The following is a 24828-nucleotide window of genomic DNA, read 5'->3' as shown; positions in this document are numbered from 1 at the left end:
GCTCAACTAGAAATGAAATGGGAGCTACTACAACCAATACCACAGAAATATAGAAAATCATTCAAAGCCACTGTGAATACCTTTATGCACACAAACTAGAAAACCTAGAGGAAATGAATAAGCTCCTGGAAATATACAATTTTTCTAGATGAAAGCAGGAAGAAATAGAAACTCTGAACAGACCAAGGACAAGCAGCAAGATTAAATGGTAATTTTAAAAATTGCCAACAAAAAAAAGTCCATCCAGGACCAGATGGATTCTAGCTTAATTCTATCAGATATTTAAAAAAGAATTGGTACCAAACCTACTGAAACTATTCCAAAAGATAGAGAAAGAGTGAATCCTCCCTAAATCATTCTATGAAGCAAGTATAACCCTAATACCAAAACAGGAAAGGACATAACAAAAACAAACAAACAAAACCTACAGACCTGTATCCCTGATGAACATTGATGCAAAACTTCTCAACAAAATACTAGCTAACCAAATCCAACAGCATATCTAAAAGATAATCCACCATGATCAAGTGGGTTTCATACCACAGATACAGGGATGGTTTAACATATGCAAGTCAATAAATGTGATACACTACATAAACAGAATTTTAAAAAATCATATAATTATCTCAATAGACACAGAAAAAGCATTTGACAAAATCCAGCATCCCTTTATGATTAAAACCCTCAGCAAAACTGGCATAGAAGAAATAGCCCTTAAGGTAATAAAAGCCAACATTATACTGAATGAGGAAAAGTTGAAAATATTTTCCCTGACAACCAGAACAAGACAAGGATGCCCACTTTCACCACTTCTATTTTACATAGTACTAGAAGTCCTGGCCAAAGCAATTAGACAAAAGAAAAAAATAAAGGTCATCCAAATTGGTAAAGAGGAAGTCAAACTGTCACTGTTCACTGATGATATGATCATATACCCAGAAAACCCTAAAGACTCATCCAAAAAGCTCATGGCTCTGATAAATGAATTCAGTAAAGTTTCAGGCTACAAAATCAATGTACACAAATTAGTAACACTGCTACACACCAACAGCAACCAAGCTGAGAATCAAGTCAAGAACTCAACCCCTTTTACAATAGCTGCAACAAAAAATAAAATACTTAGGAATATACCTAACCAAGAAGGTGAAAGACTTTCACCAGGAAAACTACAAAACACTGCTGAAAGAAATCACAAACTACACAAACAAATGTAAACACGTCCCATGCTCATGGATAGGTATAATCAATATTGAAAAAATGACCATACTGCCAAAAGCAATCTACAGATTCAATGCAATTCCCATAAAAATACCACATCATTCTTCACAGAACTAGAAAAACCAATCCTAAAATTCATATGAAACCAAAAAAGAGCCTACATAGCCAAAGCAAGACCAAGTGAAAAGAACAAATCTGGAGGCATCACATTACCTGACTTCAAACTATACTACAAAGGTGTAGTCACCAAAATAGCATGGTACTGGTATAAAAATGGCACATAAACCAATGTAACAGAATAAAGAACCCAAAAATTAAGCCAAATACTTACAGCCAACTGATCTTCAACAAAGAAAACAAAAGCATAAAGTGGGAAAAGCAGACCCTCTTAAACAAAAGGTGCTGGGATAATTGGCAAACCACATGTGGAAGAATGAAACTGGATCCTCATCTCTCACCTTATACAAAAATCAACTCAAGATGGACCAAAGACTTAAATCTAAGACCTGAAACCGTAGAAATTCTAGCAGATAACATTGGAAAAACTCTTCTGAACATTGGCTTAGGCAAAGAGTTCATGACTAAGAATCCAAATCAAGTGCAACAAAAACAATAATAAATAAATGGCACCTAATTAAACTGAAAAGCTTCTGCACAGCAAAAGAAGTAATCAGCAGAGTAAACAGACAACCCATAGAGTGGGAGAAAATTTTCACAAACCATACATCCATCAAAGGACTTACATCCAGAATCTACAAGGAACTGAAATAAATCAGCAAGAAAAAAAACAAATAATCCCATCAAAAAGTGGGCTAAGGACTTGAATAGACAATTCTCAAAAGATGCACAGATGGTCAACAAACATATGAAAAAATGCTCAACATCACTAATAATCAGGTAAATGCAAATCAAAACCACAATGCAATACCACCTTACTCCTGCAACAATGGCCATAATTTAAAAATCAAAAAATCATAGATATTAGCATGGATGTGGTAAAAGAGGAACACTTTTACGCTGCTGGTAGGAATGTAAACTAGCACAAGCACACCGGAAAACAGTATGGAGATTCCTTAAAGAACTAAAAGTAGATCTACCATTTGATCCAGCAATCCCACTCCTGGGTATCTACGTAAAGGAAAAGAAGTTATATGAAAAAGACACTTGCACACACATGTTTATAGCAGCACAATTCACAATTGCGAAAATATGGAACCAGCACAGATGCTCATCAATGAATGAGTGGATAAAGAAAATCTGATATATATAGATATTTATGTATATCTATGTGTTAACGTAACACATATGATATATATGTGATATATATATATCATGGAATACTACTCAGCCATATAAAGGAAAGTATAATGGCATTTGCAGCAACCTGGATGGAACTGGAGACCATTACTCTAAGTGAAGTAACTCAGGAATGGAAAACCAAACATCATATGTTCTCACTTATAAGTGGGAGCTAAGCTATGAGGATGCAAAGGCATAAGAATGATACAATGGACTTTGGGGACTTGGGGGGAAGGGTGGAAAGGAAGCCAAGTGAGAGATAAAAGACTACATATTGGGTACAGTGTACTCTGCTAGGGTCATGGGTACATCAAAATCTCAGAAATCACCACTAAAGAACTTATCCATGTAAGCAAACACCACCTGTTCCCCAAAAACTATTGAAATAAAAAATAATAACAATAAATATCTTTAAAAATATGACTCTATTTAAATGTTGAGATAAAATGAGGCTCTATTTTCCACGAAGAAATTAATAATGCTAAAATTAAGAATTCCAGTTTCTCCAATAAACAATTATATATTTAACAAAAAGTAGTTTATTAATCACCTTTGTTATTGCTGATATTTATCCCATTGATTTAGAATCACTACTGCCTTCCTGAGAGCTAAACATCTCTTTAATCAAATAACATTTTTATTTTTTGCTTATTATTTGAACATGTGCCTTAAAAGCACTGCCTATTTTGTTTCTAATAAGATATTTATTTTTACCTATTTTTTACATTGCAGATTTGTTCCACTGTTGTTGTTGTTTTTGTTTCAGGTATAGAATGCCACATACTACATAAAATGATTCTTTTTGCTTATGAATAATGTCACCAATTTTTAAAATAACTTGCAGAAAACAAAACTATGACTAGGCGTTTTCAGTAAAAATGCTAACATTTTGGCAACTTTGTGAAATTGTTTATTCCTCCTGATGGTGTATACAACAGAGAAATGTGGAGAAAATGTTCTACTAAGAACTCAATGATAATTTGCTCTACCTATCACATTTTTTAAATTCCATGTGGTTGTCTCCATTAACGGATGGTTAAACAGCTCCAATTTGAAGACAAAATCTTTGATTTTTTAGGAAACAAATTTTTGGAGTATCAGATAATCATTAGTTTTCTTATGACTTGCAAAAAATTTACCTTGGTTATAGTGGTAGCTAGGGTCAGACAGATTAATTATATTAAGGCTAGACAGTACTATTTTTGAAGGTAGTTTCTCTTCCCTTTTAATAGTAATGAATTATTTAAACAGGAATCATGTAACTAACACTTAGCACTGTTCTAAGAACTTTCCGTATATTACCTCAATTAATTATCATGTAAATCCAGCAAGTTAATAACTTTTAAAACTCCTATTTTACAGATAAACAATTTGTAGCACAAAGAGATAAACAGCTTGCCCAAAGTCACACAGCTAGGAAGGGGGATCCCAGAATTAAAACTCAAGCATTCTGCACTTAAAATTACTACACAATACTGGCCCACTAGCTTACCATGTTCCATGGCAGAATCCAATCATTTTACCCACGGCCATTCTTTAATAATGGCTTCGAACTTCTTACTCCATGACTGATATAAATCATAAGTTAAAAATGGAATTAGTTCAGTAATATTAAATTTAAAATAAAATGAATTATCCAAATAAATTGAAACATGAAACTTGAAAAAAGGAAACTCTCCCTAGGAAGGAAAGTCATTTGTTCTCTCAATTTTCCTAGCAACTGAAGTATGAGATTCTCTTAGCTCAGGAAATAAATGAAGTTGTTTACTATTTTCTCAAGGTCATAATAGAAACTCACAAGAAACTGTAATTTCCTTGTAGTCACCTACCCACAAACAAAACCCTGGAAGATTTATGAAGAGCAGATTCAAAGACGTTCAGAACTTTTAAGGCTGGTTTGAAACCCAAGTAGCTGCCAACTCTCCAAATTGTCATTGAGACCTTGGGAATAGAAACAAGTTTCAATTCTGTTAAAAGTCTTCTCTGTGCCTACCTGTGCTGGGTACCAACACACAGGCCAAAGAGCCCAGAATCTATAGAGGAAAGTCCAGGGACTGAGTGTCATATCTTTATGTGCCACATCATCTGTCTGAGGCTCTGTTTCCTTAGCTGTTAAGGAACATCAACGTGGCCACTTCTACTTGGCTGAATTATAATAAAGCGCCCATGAAATACATAAAAGAACTTCATAAACTCTAACAAAGTAGCTAACGTGGCTAATAGTAACTGTGGCTACCACTATTGCTAGGTCCCTCTCCTTTAATTGGTCTCAAAATTTTAATCCTAAAATTTCCAGAAAAATTGTAGTTACAACAATGATAGGAAATTGATACAACATCATAATAATTTTGTTATTATTGTTGTAATTATTGTTATGACATTGGTGATTTCTGAGATTTTGATGCACCCATCACCCAACATGTTACAAATTTGTAACAAATTACCACAAATTTAGGTGACCTAAATAATACAAATCTATAATCTTGCTGTTCTGGAGGTGAAAAGTCTGAATGGGTCTCACTGGCCTAAAATCAAGATATTGGCAAGGCTGGATTTGTTGTGGAGGCTCTAGGAAAGAATTGTTTACTTGCTTTTTCCAGCTTCTACAAGCTATTTGCCTTTCCTAGATTCTGGCCCCTTTCCATCATCAAAGCAGAAATGGCCATTGTAGTCTTTCTCACATTGCATTTATTCTGCCAATGACTCTTTCCCTTCTTGCACATTTAAAAACTCTTGTGGTCACATTGGACCAGCATGGATAATCCAGGATAATCTCTTGAATTTAAGGTCACCTGATTAGCAAACTTAAATTCATCTGCAATCTTAATTACCCTCTGTTATATAATGTAACATATTCATGTATTTTGGGGACTAGGACATGAACAACTTCAGGAAGCCATCATTTTGTGTATCATAATAGTGATACCCAATTTTAACCTTCCATTAATAATTTGTAATTTCCTTTTGTATTAAATATAGGTAAACATCATTCTACTAGAAAATTAAGTAAGTTTCATGAAGAATTTTGCTCTTTGAATGCCACTTTAAATTTTCCTCATTAAGTTTCTTCCTTGGGCAATAAGATATAATAGGGTACTATGTATTTCTACTATGCTTTCTGATTATATTAAACAACATTATATCAATTCTATTTCAGTAAAATAGTCTGATAAAGATTAATATATTGGTGCATTTCTTTAATAATTGAGAATATGTTTAGAAGTAAATTTTTAGATGAACAAATGTCGATAGTTTTTCCGTTGTTCTAAGAGTCAACATAACATATGCTAAAAATTAAAAAACAAATCATATAATTTCTTTAAAATGTTTTTACTTTGTTTAGCTATTAATAGGTTTTACATCTTTTTAAAAGGCTTTTAAAATAGGTTTTACATCTTTAAAGTCATAGAATTTATTTCTCATTACTCCATGTAAAGAAGCTGTGAATTTCATATCTCACAAAGTTAATATAATTTTCATCAGTTGAAGCACATGGTTCAATTTCAAAACTTTGAAAATAAATGAAATGATAAGGAAATGAAACACCGATCAATCTGCTTGGCCATGAGAATTCATCAGAATGCATAGTTCTTTGACATTAACCTTTATTGATTTGGCCATTTTAACAAATCAGTTCCTATTGTCATACCTTCAATTTTATGCTTCTCTATTTCTGGGATTAAATGTCTTTAACATCTTAATGTTAGGCACTTTCTTAGTATTTGCCCCAGGGGAAAAAAATCTATATTGCAATCATCTTAATCTTAAAATTATTCTGTTAGGAAATCTTTGAAAAATCTAAACTTTTAATAGATCTGTTTAAACATCTTCTTAATAATACTATACTTCTTGAGTGGTAAAAGTTAGAGCAAAATTTTCCTCCAATAAAATGTTTACTCTTTGTTGCCATAGTAAAGTTTCCCTAGTTTAGGAGATTGACTATTCTTACATATATAAATTTAGATCACCAATGAGAATATAAAAAAAAAAGTTGAAGACAGCAAAGATATTTGAACCAAATTCCTATTTTTCCGTATACGTAACATTAAAAAAAGATTTTAATACTTTGTTTTATGGGTTTTCTGCCACTATAACTCAGTTTTACAGTATCTTTAAAAATTAATAACTGAGTATTGCTAAGGTTTTTATCTCAGTATTCCAAAGATTAATGATTGTTTACATAGACAGTCTTGTAAAACTAACAAATGTTCCATTAGATGAACAGCCATTGTGTTCATAGTAGCATTATCCTTTTTTTAATGTGAAGGATAATAAAACATAGACTAAAGAATATTACATTATAGCAGAGAGAAAAGTTTTAAAAAAAAAGGAATAAATTTAATTGCATCAGTCAGTAAAACTTTCAACATTACTGTTTATAACATATTTCTTGAAGAACCTACTGGGGAAATAACCTGAAGGATTGTCTTCCCCGGAGTATTCATGAGGTATAAGAATTATAGCATTTTCTCAAAATCTGGGTATATTCCATGTCTGCAGTTAAGGACTATTCACATGAGATTTATAATATTTCAGGATTCAGCCAACTTATTATATTTTTTAAAAAAAATCTTACCCTTTGCTGCTTATTTTCTCATGCACACCACAGACCACACTGGACTCATTCCTTCCACAAGAACTCTGCCCCTTGAATAGAGAAGAGCTTTTAAAATCGTAAGTCAGGACTCACATCTTCTCTATAATATTCTCCCTAAGTGTAGTAAACCATTGAAATGTTCAATATTATATGCCTATTCTAATTACTTGGAGTAGTTGTCAATAATACAGTATTGAGAAATATCTTGAGAAAAAAAACTAGCCTTACTAGATAAGTGCTTGATCATTAGCAACTTTTGTTCTGACCACAGAACAACTCATAGCAAGCTGTAAGTTTGTTCCCCCTGCTACTGAAACCAATGCCAAAGTATGAAATATGTTACCTTGCTCCTAAAAGCAATGAGACATAAAATAGTTGGCTTAATAATAACATTAAAAAATTCTATTTAAAAGCAAGCTATACTTCATTATCCCCATCTTCTGATTTAATATATTAGATAGGCATTTATCTATAAACTTACTTGATCAAATATTTGAGTGACCATGATACCCAAGGCACTGTGCTGGTACTGCAGAGAATACAGGGCCGAGGAAATGATCTTGTACTCAAGTATAGAAAGCAGAACACTTTTTTTTTTTGTGAAGATATGATGGTTACAGTAGTATGACTGTTAGATGCATGAACTCAGATAGGACAGACATACAATCAACCACATAAGGCAGAAACTGATAAATACTAAAAGAAAAAAAAACAAATATTAGGCAGAAATGTGGAATATTATTGAATCATATATTCAAATATAATAATTAAAATAAATCTAACATAAGAATAAGAATGTGAGAGGATGCAATGTGGGAAACTACTTAAAGCTTGAGGAGATAACATGTATCAATAATGTGAACAAGAGCATGGAGGGAAGCCCAAGCCAAAGAAAGCAATAAGCACTGCATGGGCAAGGAGAATCAGGAAGGGAAGCTCCCCCAGCCTGCAGCAGAGTGGTGCCTAACTAGTGATTTGTGAAGATGGCTAAAAGGAGGAGGTGTGCTGTGAGAGGGCAGCGCAGGCACAGGCACTTGCACCATCAATGACATCTTGACCCTACAGAGCCAAATGGAGATGGGCGTCCAGCTCCCAGGAGGTGGATTTGTGGATCTAAGCCTCATGTTACTTCTCAGCTGAATTGAAAGAAACAGCTACAAATCCCCAAAGTACAAAGAGATGCTAAGCAAGAACAGGTGTTCTTGTGGCCAGAGCATCAAAAGCAACACGTACCTGTCATGTCCCACTTGAGGAGAAACTAGTTCTACTTGTATGCAAGTATGTGAGTGATAAATACATAAATGGTTATGAATGCTAACAAAGTGCTGTTTATTGGAATTTGGAGTCTCAGAAATTGGCTCTTCACTCAAAGATTTCAAAATAATGCACTCCTGCTTTTAGTTAGCATTAACTATATTTTTTATCAGTTGGAAAATAGCTACCTATGTAATAGAGAACATCGAACTGAAGAAAACCAGAGAAGACTTCATAAAGGAAAGTTCTCTCCCATTTTCTCCCTCCTGCTAAACTGCTCCAACCCCTTTCTCACTTTCTTCCAAAATACAAATGTCCTCCTAAACAGCCCTCTTTTCTGAGTTGCAGATCAAATGTCTGGAAATCCTCCATCTGCAGGTGACAATGTTGAAAGATCTAGCAAGGCCTTCTCCTCCTGCAACATTCCATATATGAACTAATGATATCACCACTTCTCTGCTGCCATTTCTAAACCACAAGGCTTGCCCAGGGCCTCTCAAAACCCACTGTCCATGACTGTATCTCCACTTATTTTCCCTTAGCTAAAAATGTGTTCTCCCCTGAACTGCTTTCCCTGTGCCCCTTGTATCAAGGTTGCTCATTCTTTTCATCCTCATATATTTAAGGGTAAGGAGTTCATATCAGTGTCTTCTTCATTCCCCATAGTACCTTCTCAATCATTCCCACCCCAATGTGTTTGTAAAAATCTATACCTCTCTGAATCTGGTCCCATTTTTCTGTACAACTTATTGTGGACATCTGTGAGTTACCAACACAGCATTCATTCTATCATGTGCCCTTGTTAACTATACTTCAATTTTTTTCAACAGTGACCCATCCCCCTACTTATGCCCTAAAGTCAACTTTTTGATAAACTGACTTTAGTTCTACCTCTAGAATTAGTGTATGCATTTACCTGGCCACATTGATGGCCTTAGGCATAATCTTATCAGAGTGAAGCTCAAAACTTTTGTTCAGTGGTTGCAGGAAATGGACACTTTTTCTTCCACGAGAGGCAAACTAGGAAGAATGGATTCACCATTGCTGCTGATACCTGTCTTGCAACCAGGAGGAAAATCAGCCTAAAGAAAAAACTAACATATAAAGGAAAGAAGAACCAAAGAAACAGGAAAAAAGAAAATGTAGAACCAAGACCTGATTGAATAGTTCCTGAAACAACTTTACTTGTGGACTTTTCTGTTTGTCTTTAAGTCACTTGAGATGGGTTTTCTGTACTTTCATTGACTTTGTCATCACTAGAAACTGTTCCTTTTCAAATTCCTACTTTAAAAATCCTATCCTCAGACATCAGCCTCCTGTCCTTTCAGTTTGTTCACTTACACATACTACAGTACTAATTAGAATGTCATATCTGTTGACCATTTTTACTATCCACCTACTCCTTCCTATTTTCATATATAAGTTTTGTTCACCAGTGGGCCAACCCATGTAGCTCAGTGTCTTACATTTAGTAGGCAATTAATAAATTGTGTTGATTCATTGGTTAATTGATTGTTCTCTTTGCCTTTCTCTCTCACCCCTTCCCAAGTATGCTTCACCTAGTGATTATTCTTTTAAATTTTTTCCATAATTATTTTTCTGTAACACAATATATCCTTATTACTGTCCCACTGGAAATCTTCAATAACACTCATTTTGTCCATAGCTGGACCTCAGATGTGGTCCACACTATGTTCCTGATGTTGTTGCTTTCTAAAGGTTATCATCTTCCAATTGAGATTGAGGATGGACAAACCCTTCCTGAACCAAATTCAGTGCTGGAAGCCACCTTAAAATGTCAACTTCAAATATGGTCTAAAATAATGTACTTTTAATAAATAAATATAACTCTCCATCATCACAAACCTCAGAAAAGCCATGCAATGATCTCTCCTGCAGTATCTAATTTTGTAAGAATTCCATTCTAGACATTATGCTTTAATGGAACACTGGCAAAATAAAAGTTATCCAAAGAGTAACCAGGATGGTGAAAAGCCCAGAAACCATGTGTCAAGGGGAAAACAGGGTTTCTTTGCAGAGAGAGGGTGTGGGGACCATAACATTTATGTTCTGATATTTGAAGGACTGTCAAGTGGAAGAACAAAAGTTGCAATTCTCTTCTGCTCCAGACATCAGAAAAAGATTAAATTTAATCTTATATGGAGTTATATCTTAGCTCAATATGAAATGTAACATTAAAATAATGTTTCTATCCAGGTATCCAGCTATAAAAGGGGCTTACATAAAAGCAGAGTTTTATAAAGTATCAATCAAGTTAGTCTAGTTTGTGCTGTAGCAACAAAGAACCCCCAAATCTCAATGGTATATCAAAAAAAGTTTGTTTCTTATTTATACTACTTTATTTGTCCAGCACAGGTCACAAAAGATCCTACGCATTGTAGCCTTCAAAGACTCAAGATGACAGAAGATCCACCATCCTATGACACTGCCATCTAAACACAAGTCTCCAGCGGCCACTGTGGCAAGGAAACAGAGCTTGAATCATAAATCAGCTCTTAAATGCTTCTGCCTGGAAGTGATTCACATCACTTCACTTAAATTTCATTGGCCAAAGCAGTCCATGGCCATGTATAATTTCAAGGAGATGAGACAGCTGTAAAAGGAAGGATGTCAGAAGCTTCAGTTAGCACTTGGAACATCTACCATAACTTTCAGTAGGATTTAAGCAGAATTCAAATTCTCATTAGGAATATCATAGAAAAAGTTAGATTGCTAAGCCTCTTTAAACTCTAGGATTCTATAATTCCAAACTTATGTCAGATAGTTCCTTTAATATCAGGGATTTTGCTTCCTAGGGTAAAATGAATAACTCTGGAGCACTGAAACTTCCCATATACAAAGGACTATGCTCAATATTTGAATTTACTGAGCTGAGCTTACAAAGACTTGGCTTGGAAGAGCTAAATATTGGCAGGTCAACAGCCCTAACTCTGTAAGCTTGTTATGGTCCATTTTTTTCAAACATTGCTTCAAATATTTACATTTGACTTTTACATAAAAGTTGCTGATTTTCAGTAGAGGCTGAGATGAACGACAGTTGATAACTGTTCCTCATGTTCTATAGAATTTATGTGTAAGGTTTCCAGCTATTTTTCTATCTTCCTTGGTAAGACTGTAGTGTAGCTAAACAGGTGGACTTAAATGTCAGCTGTATTCTAGTGGCTTAATAATGCCTTTGAATACGTAATAGCCAATGCTTACAGGTTATGTTATTTTATATTACAGTCTCCTGTTTAATTTTACTGCAGATACGTCTTAAATTGAGAGCAATTACTCCCTTCATTTTTGCCATTTTAAACCTGCTGTGTACTCATTTTTTTTAAATTATGGGCCAAAAAAGGACAGCTATACATTTTCAGTGTCATGGATCTAGAGTTATAGCTCTAGAGGGGCCACAGAGATCACCTAGTTTGCCCCTTTGTTTTACATACAAAAAATTTAAGAACAGTTAACATTTGTTGAGAGTGTACCATGTTCTGGGCACTGGCCTACTGTTTTCTCATGTATTAACTCAACTGATCTTCTCAATAGCCCAAGAAAATAAATACTGTCATCATCTCCATTTCACAGATGAATAAACTTACCTAAGATTGGGAAACATTTCCCCCTTATTAGACAGGTCAATATTTTAAAAAAAAAAATGGCATAGCCTGGTGCTGGGGAGAACACGAACAGGCACATGGCCTCATTTACTGTTCAGCATTTTGTGACATTTAGCTCAAACTTTTTGATATTGAATCTTCCTCCATTTCTCCACAGTTCTTACATATCAATTTGGACAAAGGTGACAAGATAATAGCAAATTCCAAGAAAAACTATTACATAGTTCAAATAATCACACAATTACATATTAGACAGAAAGTAAAGGCTAGAGAAAGTCTGCAGCACTACCTAATCTGAGAAAATGATTGGGAAGGAATGTTAAAATTATTAACCATTGAGGCTTGGGCCCTAGGCTCCCTTACTGGGAAGTTTCTGGAATAGTTTCTAGAGTTATGTCTGAAATAGTTTTCCAATTCTGATTGAAACCTTTAAGCTAATAATGCTTACCTATGAATGAAGAGATTTGGGTGACTTTTACATTTTTCTTTGTACTTTTCAATATTGTTTAATTTTCCATTGCAGTGACAATACATTTTATAAAATCATCGAGAAGATTTAAACAAATGCAATGAGTTTATTGAATGAGCTGAACTCAGGAAGATAGCAAAAAGCAACTTTGTTCTTTCTCACCCTGTACCTGCATACCTGTTCTTTGGGTTTCATTTAACAAGCTATTCTACAACCTAAGAGATAGGCACTACCCTCCCACTCCTGAGGTCTACCACTTTTAGAACTGTCTACTATTGTCAACACTACCTGCGACCCAGTCTTCGGCATCCCCTCCTCAAACTCATCCCCCTAAAGTTCCAGTCTCTGTCCTGCTCAGACACCTGTGTCAGGGCTCTCTCCAGTGATTCTGAATTGAGTGCCCTTGGGCACCCCTGGTAAGAGCCTCTGTCTACTCAACCACACCCAGAGCTACCATTCGCTGTATGAAGCTGGAAAAGTTCACACCCCTTAGCTCTGGTGCTGAAGTGGACACGGGTAGAGCACAGGAAAATGTGCTCCCTACATCCCAAATGAAAGCCCTGAACTAATAGAAACAAATGATGAGGAGGCTCTGTATCACTGAAGTATGGACACATTGTGGGTTAAAGGCTTTGGCAGACTGAACTGGAGACATAACCTTCATTCATCACACAATTTCTATAGAAAAATGTGTCGAGTTCAAAACAACTGACCTACAAATGATCCTTAGGAACATAATTTGTCTGGAAACTGGGGGCTGCTTTTATAACCATCTCCAGCCTGTCAGATCCAATAGATTAGAGTCAAGACAGCACCTTTGATTTACAGTCTTGGCCCTGTTGCTGAAGCACTTCCTAATTCACACTCTCTATTCTTAAAATGAGAGGCATAATATGTCTGCTCCAACTACAAGGTTGTTGAGATAATAAGCATGGCTATTTCTGAGAAAATATCTTACAAAATTGACAATATAAGTGTTTACTATTATTTCATGTGGTGCATTACAGAATTCACAGTACAGGTAATTGGTTATAGGGAAGTCGTTTCTGAGATTAATAAGACTGCCGCAAAAGTATCACAATATGCTCCTGTTTTTTCCCCATTCCTGATTTCTTTCCTTAGCAAAAAATGTTCCTTTGTCTTTCTTAACCTATGCATTTTTAGGTTATTGGCTTTTAGAATATTGGCATTACTGAAACCCTGTCTAACTTTAGGAGCGCTAATTGAGTATATAATAACACACATGTAAATCAACAAATTTTAGAAAGCCTTAGAATCTGCAAAAAGCATGAAACATAATTTATCCTATGCTAAGTACAGTAACTAGGTAATGCCAGTGTTAAAAAAAAAAGTATAAAACTTGAAAATAAGGATAAAAGGGTAGAGCAAGCCCTTTTGATGTCTACTGGTATATTATTTCAATAGTCCACTTCATGACAATTTATCTGATTACTCATGTTTGACTTTGCTATTTCCTATTTGATTAGAGACTAGACACTATGGAATTATATGTTAAATTGTAGATTTTTGTTAAGTAAAAAAGATAACCTTAAAGATGGCTGTTCTGTTGTCCCGTGGGCCACTAACCAATGTTGTATCCAACCCAGCTATCCTATTCTAATATCCTTTTAATGTCTTTCCTGCTGTACTATATATATCATTGTTCCTTAAATGCTCTTGGAACCAGTTTCATCCTCATATTGGTATGTATGTATATGTATACATATATACACATATATGTATATATGTATACATTATCTGTAAACATAATAAAGTGCTTTGAAGAAATTTTAAAAATAGGAAAGTGGGTGGTGCCAAGGAAGCTGAGGGAAGAAAATGTTTGAGAAGGGAATGCTCAGAAGAGGCTGCACTGCCATAAGTTGAAGGGACTTAGCAGTAAGGAATAGGTCAGTAACCTTGGAGAGAGCAGCATTCATGGGGTGGTGAAGGCAGAAACCGCATCATTAAGAGCAAGGGGAAGAGGGCCAGAACGTACACACCACTTTAGGGAAGTTGGAATGTGGGGAGAGCAGTGCAATGAGATGGTGCCAGATAGATAAGAGATCCAAGGAGAGGTATATATTTTGTGTGTTTTCTGGGTTTTTTGATGTTGTTTGTTTTAATGGGTGAGACCAGAGTATATTTAAATGCAGATGGGAAGAACAGTTTGAAGATCAAGTAAGAGGGATGGAGGTGGGGGTGAATAATTAAAAGAAAAAAGATTCCTGAGGAGGCAAGAGGGGATAGAATCCCAAGAACAGATATTTCAGGGTGGGGGCGGGGCTGGCAACAGACAGCATGTTGGCTGGCTGAAGTTACGGTGGGAGGTGGTGGGAGTTGTAAGTCTGAGGAGCTTGTGAAATGTTTCAGATGGAAGCTGTGGGAAATAGAAGAAAGCTAAAAAACACACATGAATTGCAAAATAGCATTGAGGACCCCAGTACAAGTTGAATGCAATGACATCATAGTGGCACCAATATGATTATATGAGGTTTTTTTTTCTCCAGCCATGCTCAAGACTTCAGCTTAGCCAAGGAAATAGCAGGCACGGTAGGTATTTTCTGGCTGGTTATGAGTGGAATATAATGAGAGAAGGTAAATAGGACACTTATAGGGAGGTAACTGAAGCAATGGACTAAGCACTTGTCCAAACATTTTTGTTCTCATGCTCTCAAAAGATTTTGGAAAACTATTTCTCACATATTTTGAAATCAAAATCTAAAAATTTTTAACACATAAAGTGAAATAGTTTCAAAGGATGTATTTATGGCTTATATTATATATGTACATTAAATATATTTTTATCCAAGTCTTGGAGTTGTAGATTTAGCTCATTCTATTTATAGAACACGTCTTTCAGATAATCAGGCCACATTGTGAAACTAATCAGCCAAATCAGGGTTACTTTTCATCAGAACCAGTACAATTTTATTTTAAAATTCATACAGTCATGCATCTGTGGAATACTTCTGTATTCTAAGATAGGTTAATTGATTTTTAAATGGATGGTTGATTGTTGGGTAGATAGCTGGTGGATAGATGAATAAAACAAGACATGGATGGATAGACAAATTCTTATCTTGAGTTTGTCTCCTGGATAAAACAAGATCCCCTCAAATATTTCTCTCTGAAGTTTTTTTTTATTTTACTTTCAAGAGACTTTCCCTCAAGAAAGTGGTATTCTAGATTTGTCCCTCTTTTTGATGCCCCAAGTGTTTTTACACCCTGGAGCAATGCATCAAAATACAACTTAGGATGGGGGAAGTACACTTTTCTTTTGTAAAGTGGAGAAGGGCAATGTGAAAGGTGAAAAAGGAAAGACTAATTGGTAGACATCAGAGTTTGTATGCAGGTCAGCTTGAAGAATGAATATGAGGAAGTTGAGATTTAGAAATTTCTACACTACAGCTTTCTAAGCTTTTTTGATTATCCCACAGGTACCTAAAACTTAACATGCCTAAAATTGAACTTACATATCTACCTCATCCTAGTCCTCCTTCCTCAGTGAGTGGCACCATTTCTATTCATTAAGACAAGACAGAAACCTGGCAGTCACCCTGAACTTCTTGTTCTCTCATGCCCTTCATATCCAACTAAACACCAAGATCTGGACATTTTTTCTCATAATGATCTCCTGAGTCAGCCCACATCCCTCTATCCCCATGGCTATCTCTCTGCTGCAGGGTATGGTTGCCTCTCACTCAGCTGCCAAAATCTGCCTGTCTCTAGTCTTGAGTCCTCTCCACCTGCTCTCCATACTACAACCAGAGAAAGTATTCTAAAACATGTCTGACTAAATAGCTCCATTTTTAAAAAGTTATCAATGACTTCCTATAACCCTAGGCCTTATTATTCACTTACTAGATTACTATTTCAATCAAGCTCTAAGGACAAATCCTAAACTCATTGGCATGGCTTTCAAGGCCCTTCTGAACTTGGCCTCTGCTCATCATGGCAGCTTCCGCTCTCCCCACTCCATACTCTGCTTATGAAGTGTTTTCATCCCAAGTCTCACCAGGCTCTCCTGCCTCAAACACTCTTTCTGCCTCCTTCTTCTAGCTCCCTCCTATTTAGCATTAAGGTTTCAGCTGAGATGTAATTTCCTCTAGAAAGCTTTTCCTAATCCCTCAAGTTTGGGTTTGATCCTTATCTTACATACTTCTGTGACGCATTGTTTGTAGTCCATTATAGCATTTACTCTACATTGAGTTTTAACTGTTTACATGTCTGAATACCCAAGAGCAGAGGGACATATGTGTGTGTCTATTCACTTTTGTATTGTCAGTGTCTAGGGTACTAGCCACTGCCTGGTGCAGAGTAGGTATCCAATAAACACGTACTTACCGAATAAATACGTGAAGCTACCAAAATTTTGCCCCCAAAATAAATCACATTCCTTCTATGAGTGGCTTATAAACCTGTTTAGTGACCAAATATAAAGTTTTCATCAAGTTCATATGAAATTGTTGGCAAAAAATAATCCATAAGCTTGATGGGGAAAAAATTCCATGCCCCATCTCTCTAACAATGATATCAAAAACTACTTCCTTATACATAGCAAAATAACTTAGCTGAGAACTGAGTCAAAAGGAACTGAAATTTTCATTATTTTATTAATTCATTCAATGATCAATGGTCACTTAGCTCTGCCTTCATGAAGCAGTGTTGCTCTAGTCTAGTCTAATGCTTGCCCCATGAAGCCCACTGAACCCTGGAGAAAAGCTGGCCCATCTCTTCAGCTTTCCAAATTTTATTATATAGAACTAGGAGCAGCTGCTTTTATCCAAGTAGGAATAATTTTTAAATAGCATTTTTCCTTGTATGTCAGAAAACCCAAGCTGAAAATATTACATTTCTTAAAACTTCTATGCTCCTGATCTTTTTCTTCTTTTCTGTTGTGCCAGAGGCATGAACTTTATGCCCCCAGCACCAGTTAAGAAGATGATTTATTAAACAGACTTAAATGAAAGATGGCTTGGTGTGGATACACTTAGATTCACAGACCGTGCCTTGGGGCAGTTTTAGTGCCAACTTTCTAACTAATTCAGAAATGAAAAACTTCTCATTATTTCAGGATAAATGTCTAAACCTACCAGCTCTTGTCTGAATGACATAAAAGTATCAGCACTAAAAATGGAGATTTTGTTGTTCACATGTCATCTAGACTCTCAACCCTACAATGTTTAACATATGAGCCAGTTACAAATTACCAACTAATGGTATCTTTTGGGCACTTCCAGGTAAAGCCTCCCAGTGTCCATTGTATCAAACTCTTTCCCTTTCATACAGGGTTACCTGTACAGTAGTATCACTCAGAAGTTATGCTGGAGGAATTGCTTTCAATTTTTTCATTAGGTTCATAAAATCTACTCAGAAAATAGATTTAAAACACAAATGTTAAAATCCATGCAAAAACACAAATATTTTGATTTGATTTATGCAAAGCCCTAAGCCTGTGCTGTGCACAGAGAAGAGAGCAATGGCATGACTACTTGTCTGTTTACTCTCAGAATGTGCATATATGCATTTCATTTCCTTGATTTGACCCTAATTCAAGGGGCCAGTCTGAAGAGTCAGCAATGTTAATTTACTAGATCTCAAAAGTAAGTATTCATATTACTGCAAAAAGCAAGATGTCATTTTCTCATCATTTCTGTGAATAGAAAAGCTATTTTCCAACAATAGGGATCCCTTATAATAGGGAAATACTTAACTGGTACTGAACTCAGAAACTGCAGTGTTCTGCTTGGCTTCATTGATTTTATCAAAGGACCTCTTTATCCTGAGCAGGTAAAGCTCAATGAATTGAAATAGTCCAGAAATACATGAATAGCTGTCCTCTGACAGAAAGTAAGTTTAAATTGTAAGAAAATTACTTTATTTCCAAGGATTCCCGAGATTCTTGTTCCTGATTATGGTCCAAAATTCCACACAGATTTGTTCTTGATTCATTTCAGAGTAGTCAGAAAAGGTACTGTTCTCCTTACATAGAGAAAGAACATCCTAAATATCAAAATATGGATATGGTTAGGTCTACGACATTTATCTCCTTGGTGTTTAAGAGAAGTCAGGTAAACATAAACAAATAGCATATGAGTAACCAGCTTATTACCTACAGAAACACCTTAAATGCTAGAAATTGGACCGAGACTACAGCAACTACACAGTTTTAATTTCCTTTAATTTAAGACCACCTGTATGCTTTCAGACCAAAACCTTCTTTCTCAAAAAGGATTAAATGTCTAGTTTATATATAACCAGAAAATAAAACAAGACACATACTTTAAAACACAGAAAGACTCTGGCAGAAATATAACTATACAGGTTTATATCAAAACTAAATGAGAAAGCAGCAAATCTAAATCACATGTACAATTCATAGTAAATCACAAAAATGGTATAAAATGTGTGGTGAACAAAAATAAAACCATTAATAACTAAAAGGTTTTCTTATAGTGACTCTGGTTTTTTATATTGCTCTGTGTCTCTAGTGGAATAAAAATAGTTATACATAACAAAGCAAAAAGAAAGAAAACAAATCTAATATAAATAATTTAAATACAGGGAGAAAAGGTAGTCAGCAATCTTTACCTGTTTTGTTCCTAATATTTGTTACTCAGATATTGAAGATATTTAATTGTTTTAAATATGCTTTATATACAAAAAGCAAAGGCACAGTTATATTTTATATAATTATTCAGTCAGCAGAGATTAGGCAGATGAAGAAGAATGTGGAGGCCACAGAAGCAGCCCAAGTGGAAAAGCCTCCTCCAGTTGAGTGGGGAGTGGCTTGGTTATAGAAGAGATGATTCCCCCAAAGATGCGAGGCAGAATAATGATCCCCCAAAGATGTCCTGTGGTAATCGCCAGAAGCTGTGACTACGTTGCCTGTTATTTGGCAAAGGGTAATTAAAATGGAAGATGCAATTAAGGTTGCTAATCAGCTGACTTTAGGGAGATTATCTTGGATTGCCTAGGGTCAATGTAACCACAAGAGTTCTTAAATGTACAAGAGGGAGGCAGAAGAGGAATCACTATGGAGTGACTTAATATGATAAAGACGTGGCCCACAGTTGGTAGTTTTATTTTTGTTTTTGTTTTTTCCTCAACTTTTATTTTAGGCTCAAGAGATAAATGTGCAGATTTGTTACACGGCAAATTACATGTGATTGAGACTTTGTGTATGAATGATCCTGTCACCCAGGTAGTGAGCATAGTTACCAATAGGTAGTGTTTCAACCCTTGCCCCAACCCCAATAGTAATCCCCTGTCTCTATTGTTCCCATCTTTATAAGCATGTGTACCCAATGTTTAGTTTCCACTTATAAGAGAGAACATGCAGTATGTGGTTTTCTGTTTTTGCGTTAATTCACTTGGGATAATGGCCCCAGCTGTTTCCATGTCACTGCAAGGGTATAATTTTATTCTTTTTTATGGCTGTATAGTGTTCCATGGTGTATATGTACCACATTTTCTTTATCCTGTCTACCATTGATGGGCATCTAGGTTGATGTCATGTCTCTGCTACTGTGAATAGTGCTGTGACAAACATACAAGTGCACGTTTCTTTTGGTAGAATAATCTATTTTCCTTTGGTATATACCCAGTAATAGAATTTTTTGGTTGAATAGTAATTCTGTTTTAAGTTCTTTGAAATCCACAAACTGCTTTCCATAATGGCTGAACTAATCCACATTCCTACCAACAGTGTATAAGCATCTCTTTTCTCCAAAGCTTTACCAGCATCTCTTGTTTTTTGACTTTTCAATAGTAGCCATTCTGACTGATGTGAGATGGAATCTCACTATAGTTTTGATTTGCATTTTTCTGATGTTTTATGATGTTGTGCTTTATTTCATGTATTTATTGGCGACATGTATGGGCAAAGGACATGAATAGATACTTCTCACAGTTGCTGGAGTTAAAAATGGAGAAAGGGGGCCAGGAGCCAAGGGATGCAGATGGCTTATAGAAGCTACAAAAAGTAAAGAAACAAATTCTTAGTGCTTCCAGAAAGGAACACAGCCCTGCCAACACCTTAATTTTAGTTCACTAAAATTCATCTGGACTCCTGACCTCCAGAACTGCAATTTGGTAAATTTGTGCTGTTTTTGACACTAAGCTATGGTAATGTGTTATACTAGCAATAGGAAACATAGAATATGGCACTTCACATTAGAAACTATGAATGAGAAGGGTCTTTAAGAAGCAATGAGGGATAAATTCAAATGCCATAGAATAAAGTAAAGATGATAAAGACAAGAAGTTTAGGAAATAGTTGGAAGAGGGCAAAAACAAAAGAACTTATGAGCATCAAACAAATTTCCATCCATAATAAAAATAATAACAATTAAAGGGAGCGCAGACTATAATACTAAGGCCAAATTCTACAGGGTAAAGAAGTAAAGTGAAAGATATGGTAGATACAATATCCTTCACATGGCAGGCTTCAGCAAATGTTTGTTGATATATTATTCTTGGACAACTAAGAAAGCAAAGGGTACTTAGGAAGTAAAACTGGAAGTATGTTACAAAGAAAATCAGAAATCAAAATAAAGGAAAATATCTGAGGCATTGCGTTTAAAAAAAAAGTCCAGAATTTTTAAATGGCCAGAATAACACTGAAAGTGTGGGCAAATGACATCAATAACATCCAAATTAGCATGTAAGTTTATATGATTTAAAAGAAGACGTGTTATATAATCTATGCCTTCTGAAAATGACTTCAACAAAGAAACCACACAGACTTCTAATGCTGAATCATTAAATGTAGGTTTTCTTGTACTTTGTAGAGTCACATTCTGTCACAGAACATAATGAAAATCTTTTGTGAATTGTTACTGATGAGAAAATGTAAACTATTTTGGAAATGTGGATTTTCTTCAGCTGAATATGGACTTTGAACCTGTATTAATGCTGTAGTCAATGAAAAGACCTTGCCTAAGATTTTTATGATCTCCAGAAGTCAGTCAATTCATCTTTGGGGAGTTCTAGGCATCATTTCTCTGTATTTCTCCCATCAAACACATTAGCTGATGACTGAAGATAATAATTCCAGAGTAAATATTAAAGGCTATTATGGCACATATATGATGCTGTTAAAATAAAGTTTAAAATGTAATATATGGAGTTGCTTTGGAATTGACCTCCTTTTCTAGCTCCAGTCATGCATCATGGTAACTTTTAAAGATATGCAATAAGCGAAGATGTGTCCCTATCAATTCCATCTTATATAAGTTTATGTAAAGGCTCTGAACATAATGTCTAAAGCACACATTGATTTGAATACACAAACAGATACACACACACACACACACACACACACAGTTTGTTGAAAGATCTTAAGAGGATACCCAATAAGGTCTGACTTGAAAGAGGAACAACCCACAGAATCATAATAACATATTAATACTGGGAAATACAGATAAGAAATCTTCCATAATCATAAAAATCCCAGCATCTCAAAGAGGGAAGGGCCCTTAGATGTCTCTGGACCAAGTTCCAATCTAAAATAGGACATCTCACCACCACATTCTGTACAGGTTGGCTTCCATACTCCAGTTAAACATCTTCAGTGAGTCAAAGCTCATGCACCTACAATTCCATTGTTTATTCCAAATTTAACTTCCACCTATACTCTCATTCTGTTTTATAGATGCCAAATCCATGTTTGATTCTATTTTTCATATTAATCCTGAAATTCTAGACACCAAATATCATCTCTTCCTACTTAGTAATTTCCTCCTTTATAAGACCAAGAAGCACAGGGTAAGCATACCTATGCCTGTCTATTATCTTGGCCCATCCTACACATTCTGATTATTTACTACACTAATTTGTTGATGCATCCATCAAATGTGTGCTGAGTGGCTACCAGCTTCTAGGCCAGGAAGAGAGACCAGATCCCTGTCCTCATAAAGCCGAAATTCTAGTGAGTCAGGCAATGAACAAATGAACAAGTAAGTAGATGAGATACAAAATAGTCCAGAAGTGAATCCTTATAGACTAGGGTCAGGATTTTTAAGCTAAGACCTAAAGGGTTAAAAGGAAGTAGGCATGCAAAGAGCTGGGGAGGGAAAATCAAGGGTAGAAAGATCCTGATGTGAAAAGAACTTGGCCTCTCTTAGATTCTCCAAATCAATACATGTAAAAGATTCACGGGAGGGAAGTTACAGTGGCAGAAACTGAAACTAAAGAATCAGACAGGGTCCAAACCACAGTACGGAATTTGAATTTTATTCTAAATGCAATAGGAATTCATGTGAGAATTGTAGGCAGGGAAGATATATAATCAATTTACTATTTAAAAACCACACCAGTGGCCTCGTGGAGAATGAATGAAAGAAGGACAAGGGTGAAAACAGAAGGATGAGTTAGTAGGCTCTTAATTGAGAGATGATGGAGACGTAGCTAAACATAGCCACAGTAGAAATAGAGATGTGTGGAAATATTTGAAGCATATGACTGAAGAAAGTACAGACAGGAATATCTCCTAATGCTATCCCTCCCCGCTCCCCGCACCCCACAACAGGCCCTGGTGTGTGATGTTCCCCCTCCTGTGTCCAAGTGTTCTCATTGTTCAATTCCTACCTATGAGTGAGAACATGCGGTGTTTGGTTTTTTGTCCTTGCAATAGTTTGCTGAGAATGATGGTTTCCAGCTTCATCCATGTCCCTACAAAGGACATGAACTCATCTTTTTTATGGCTGCATAGTATTCCACGGCATATATAAAAAATAAAATTAAATAAATAAATAAAAAATAAAGTAGCATGCTAAAAAAAAAAAAGAAGAAAGTACAGATAGGAATTTCTGATGGCAGATGTGGATGTGGATGATGAAAGAAGATGGGGAATAAAGAATGGCTGCTGGGTTACTCATCGAAGCAACTCTCTGATGGCAGTACTATTCACTGAGATGGGAGAGGCCAGATGAGAACCAGGAAACATCCAGGAGGAGGTTTCAAGTAGGCACTTGGGTGTGCAGATCTGGGACTCAAAAGAAAGAACTGGCCTGAAAATGTAAAATATGGTAGTTATCAACATATGGATGATATTTAAAGTCACAGAAATGAATAAGACAACCTAGAAGAGAGTTGAGAGAGAGACAGCTGAGCTCAAGACCTAGTCCTGAAGAAGTCCAACAGTTAAAGGTGGGAAAGACCAAGAAGAAGCTAATTGGGAAAAGGTAGAAATAGGAGAATGTTTCAAGAAGGAAAGATGGGTCAGCTTCATCAGTACTTTTTAAGAAGTGGAGCAAGAAGAGAGTAAAGCAACCATCAGTTATAGCACCAAGGACATGGCTGGTAATCTTGACAAAAGCAGCCTCCATGAAATAATAGAACTAGAAGAAAATTAATTAGTTTTAGAAGTGGATCAAAAATGAGAAAGTAGAAGAAAGGTATATAGAAAACATGTTGAAATATTATGCTTGGAAAAGGAACAATGAAAGGGGATAGTGGTTAGAGGAGAATTGGACTCAAGAGAGAGTTTTGTCTTTTTTTTCCCTAAGATAGACACTCAGATATCATAAAACTAGTGATTAAAGCAAGCTTAGCATATTAATGCTTTAGGACAGTGGTTTTGGAACTATTTTCAATAGAAAGCTGAGCTTCTGCAATGGTGCCTTGGGGCTGCTCCACGAGGCAAGACAGGTTCCTTCCTCACAGGAAAAGTAGCTCAGATTTAATCCATTTTATATATGGGGATTTATAATAAGATGTAATTTGAAAAATCACTAGTCTAAGGAGAACATAAAGTAGCCAAAACATCTTACCATATCAGAGTATTAGATGACAGAATACCTGATGAATCCATATATAGTATGTATTCTTAATTATGTCACACAATGGATCTTCAGGCAAAACATGATAAATTGTACCAGTAGCAGTTTCAGGATGCTAAACAAGTTTGTCATTATTTCGCAGCATCTTGGCAATGACAAATTAAGTAGCTTCCTTTACACTAAATTCTTTGGGAACTTCAGTATACTCAGACCTCGATTTTCAATAGTTTTAATTAATATATTCCACAGTCAATAGGTTTGATAAACTTGAGACATCTCAAACCCATTTTAATAAAATTGACTTACAAAATAGAAAGGAAAGAAAATTGCATATAGATCTTGACAGATGTGCAAACTAACTCTCTGTACTCAGTAAACACAGTTTTCTCATAAAGAGATTTCCTGAGTTTTAGATATGCAAAATAATAGCTGAGCAATATTTTTAATTAAGAAAATGAAATACAAGGGCACAGTTTATTTTTAACCATTTGAGGAAAATGGGTAGGACGACAGGGAACAAGAATAGTTTCATGAAAAGCTTATTATCAAATTAATCAAAAAAGATATTTTTCTAAAGGATGTTTA

At 35.5% G+C, this 24828-nt stretch overlaps 1 long non-coding RNA gene across 11 annotated transcripts in view; it reads right to left on the bottom strand.

Annotated features, from left to right (window-relative positions):
- Nucleotides 1-24828, bottom strand: part of LOC105370461 (uncharacterized) — a 433650-nt gene that overhangs the window by 135555 nt on the left and 273267 nt on the right. For 4 of the 11 annotated variants that reach the window (XR_001750723.2, XR_001750719.2, XR_007064120.1 and 1 more), the window contains one exon: nt 18312-18463. The exons of 2 other annotated variants lie outside the window; for them this stretch is intronic. This is a non-coding gene — a long non-coding RNA (uncharacterized LOC105370461). Of the gene's footprint in view, nt 1-1531; nt 18464-24828 lie in introns of those variants that run through there. 5 more of the 11 variants (XR_007064119.1, XR_007064125.1, XR_007064122.1 and 2 more) reach the window with 4 other exon arrangements.

Source organism: Homo sapiens, chromosome 14 (assembly GCF_000001405.40).
Source record: "Homo sapiens chromosome 14, GRCh38.p14 Primary Assembly".
In the NCBI taxonomy this organism is placed as follows: domain Eukaryota; kingdom Metazoa; phylum Chordata; class Mammalia; order Primates; family Hominidae; genus Homo; species Homo sapiens.
The sequence above is the reverse complement of the archived record's forward strand: the minus strand, read 5'-3'. Positions and strand labels throughout refer to the sequence as shown.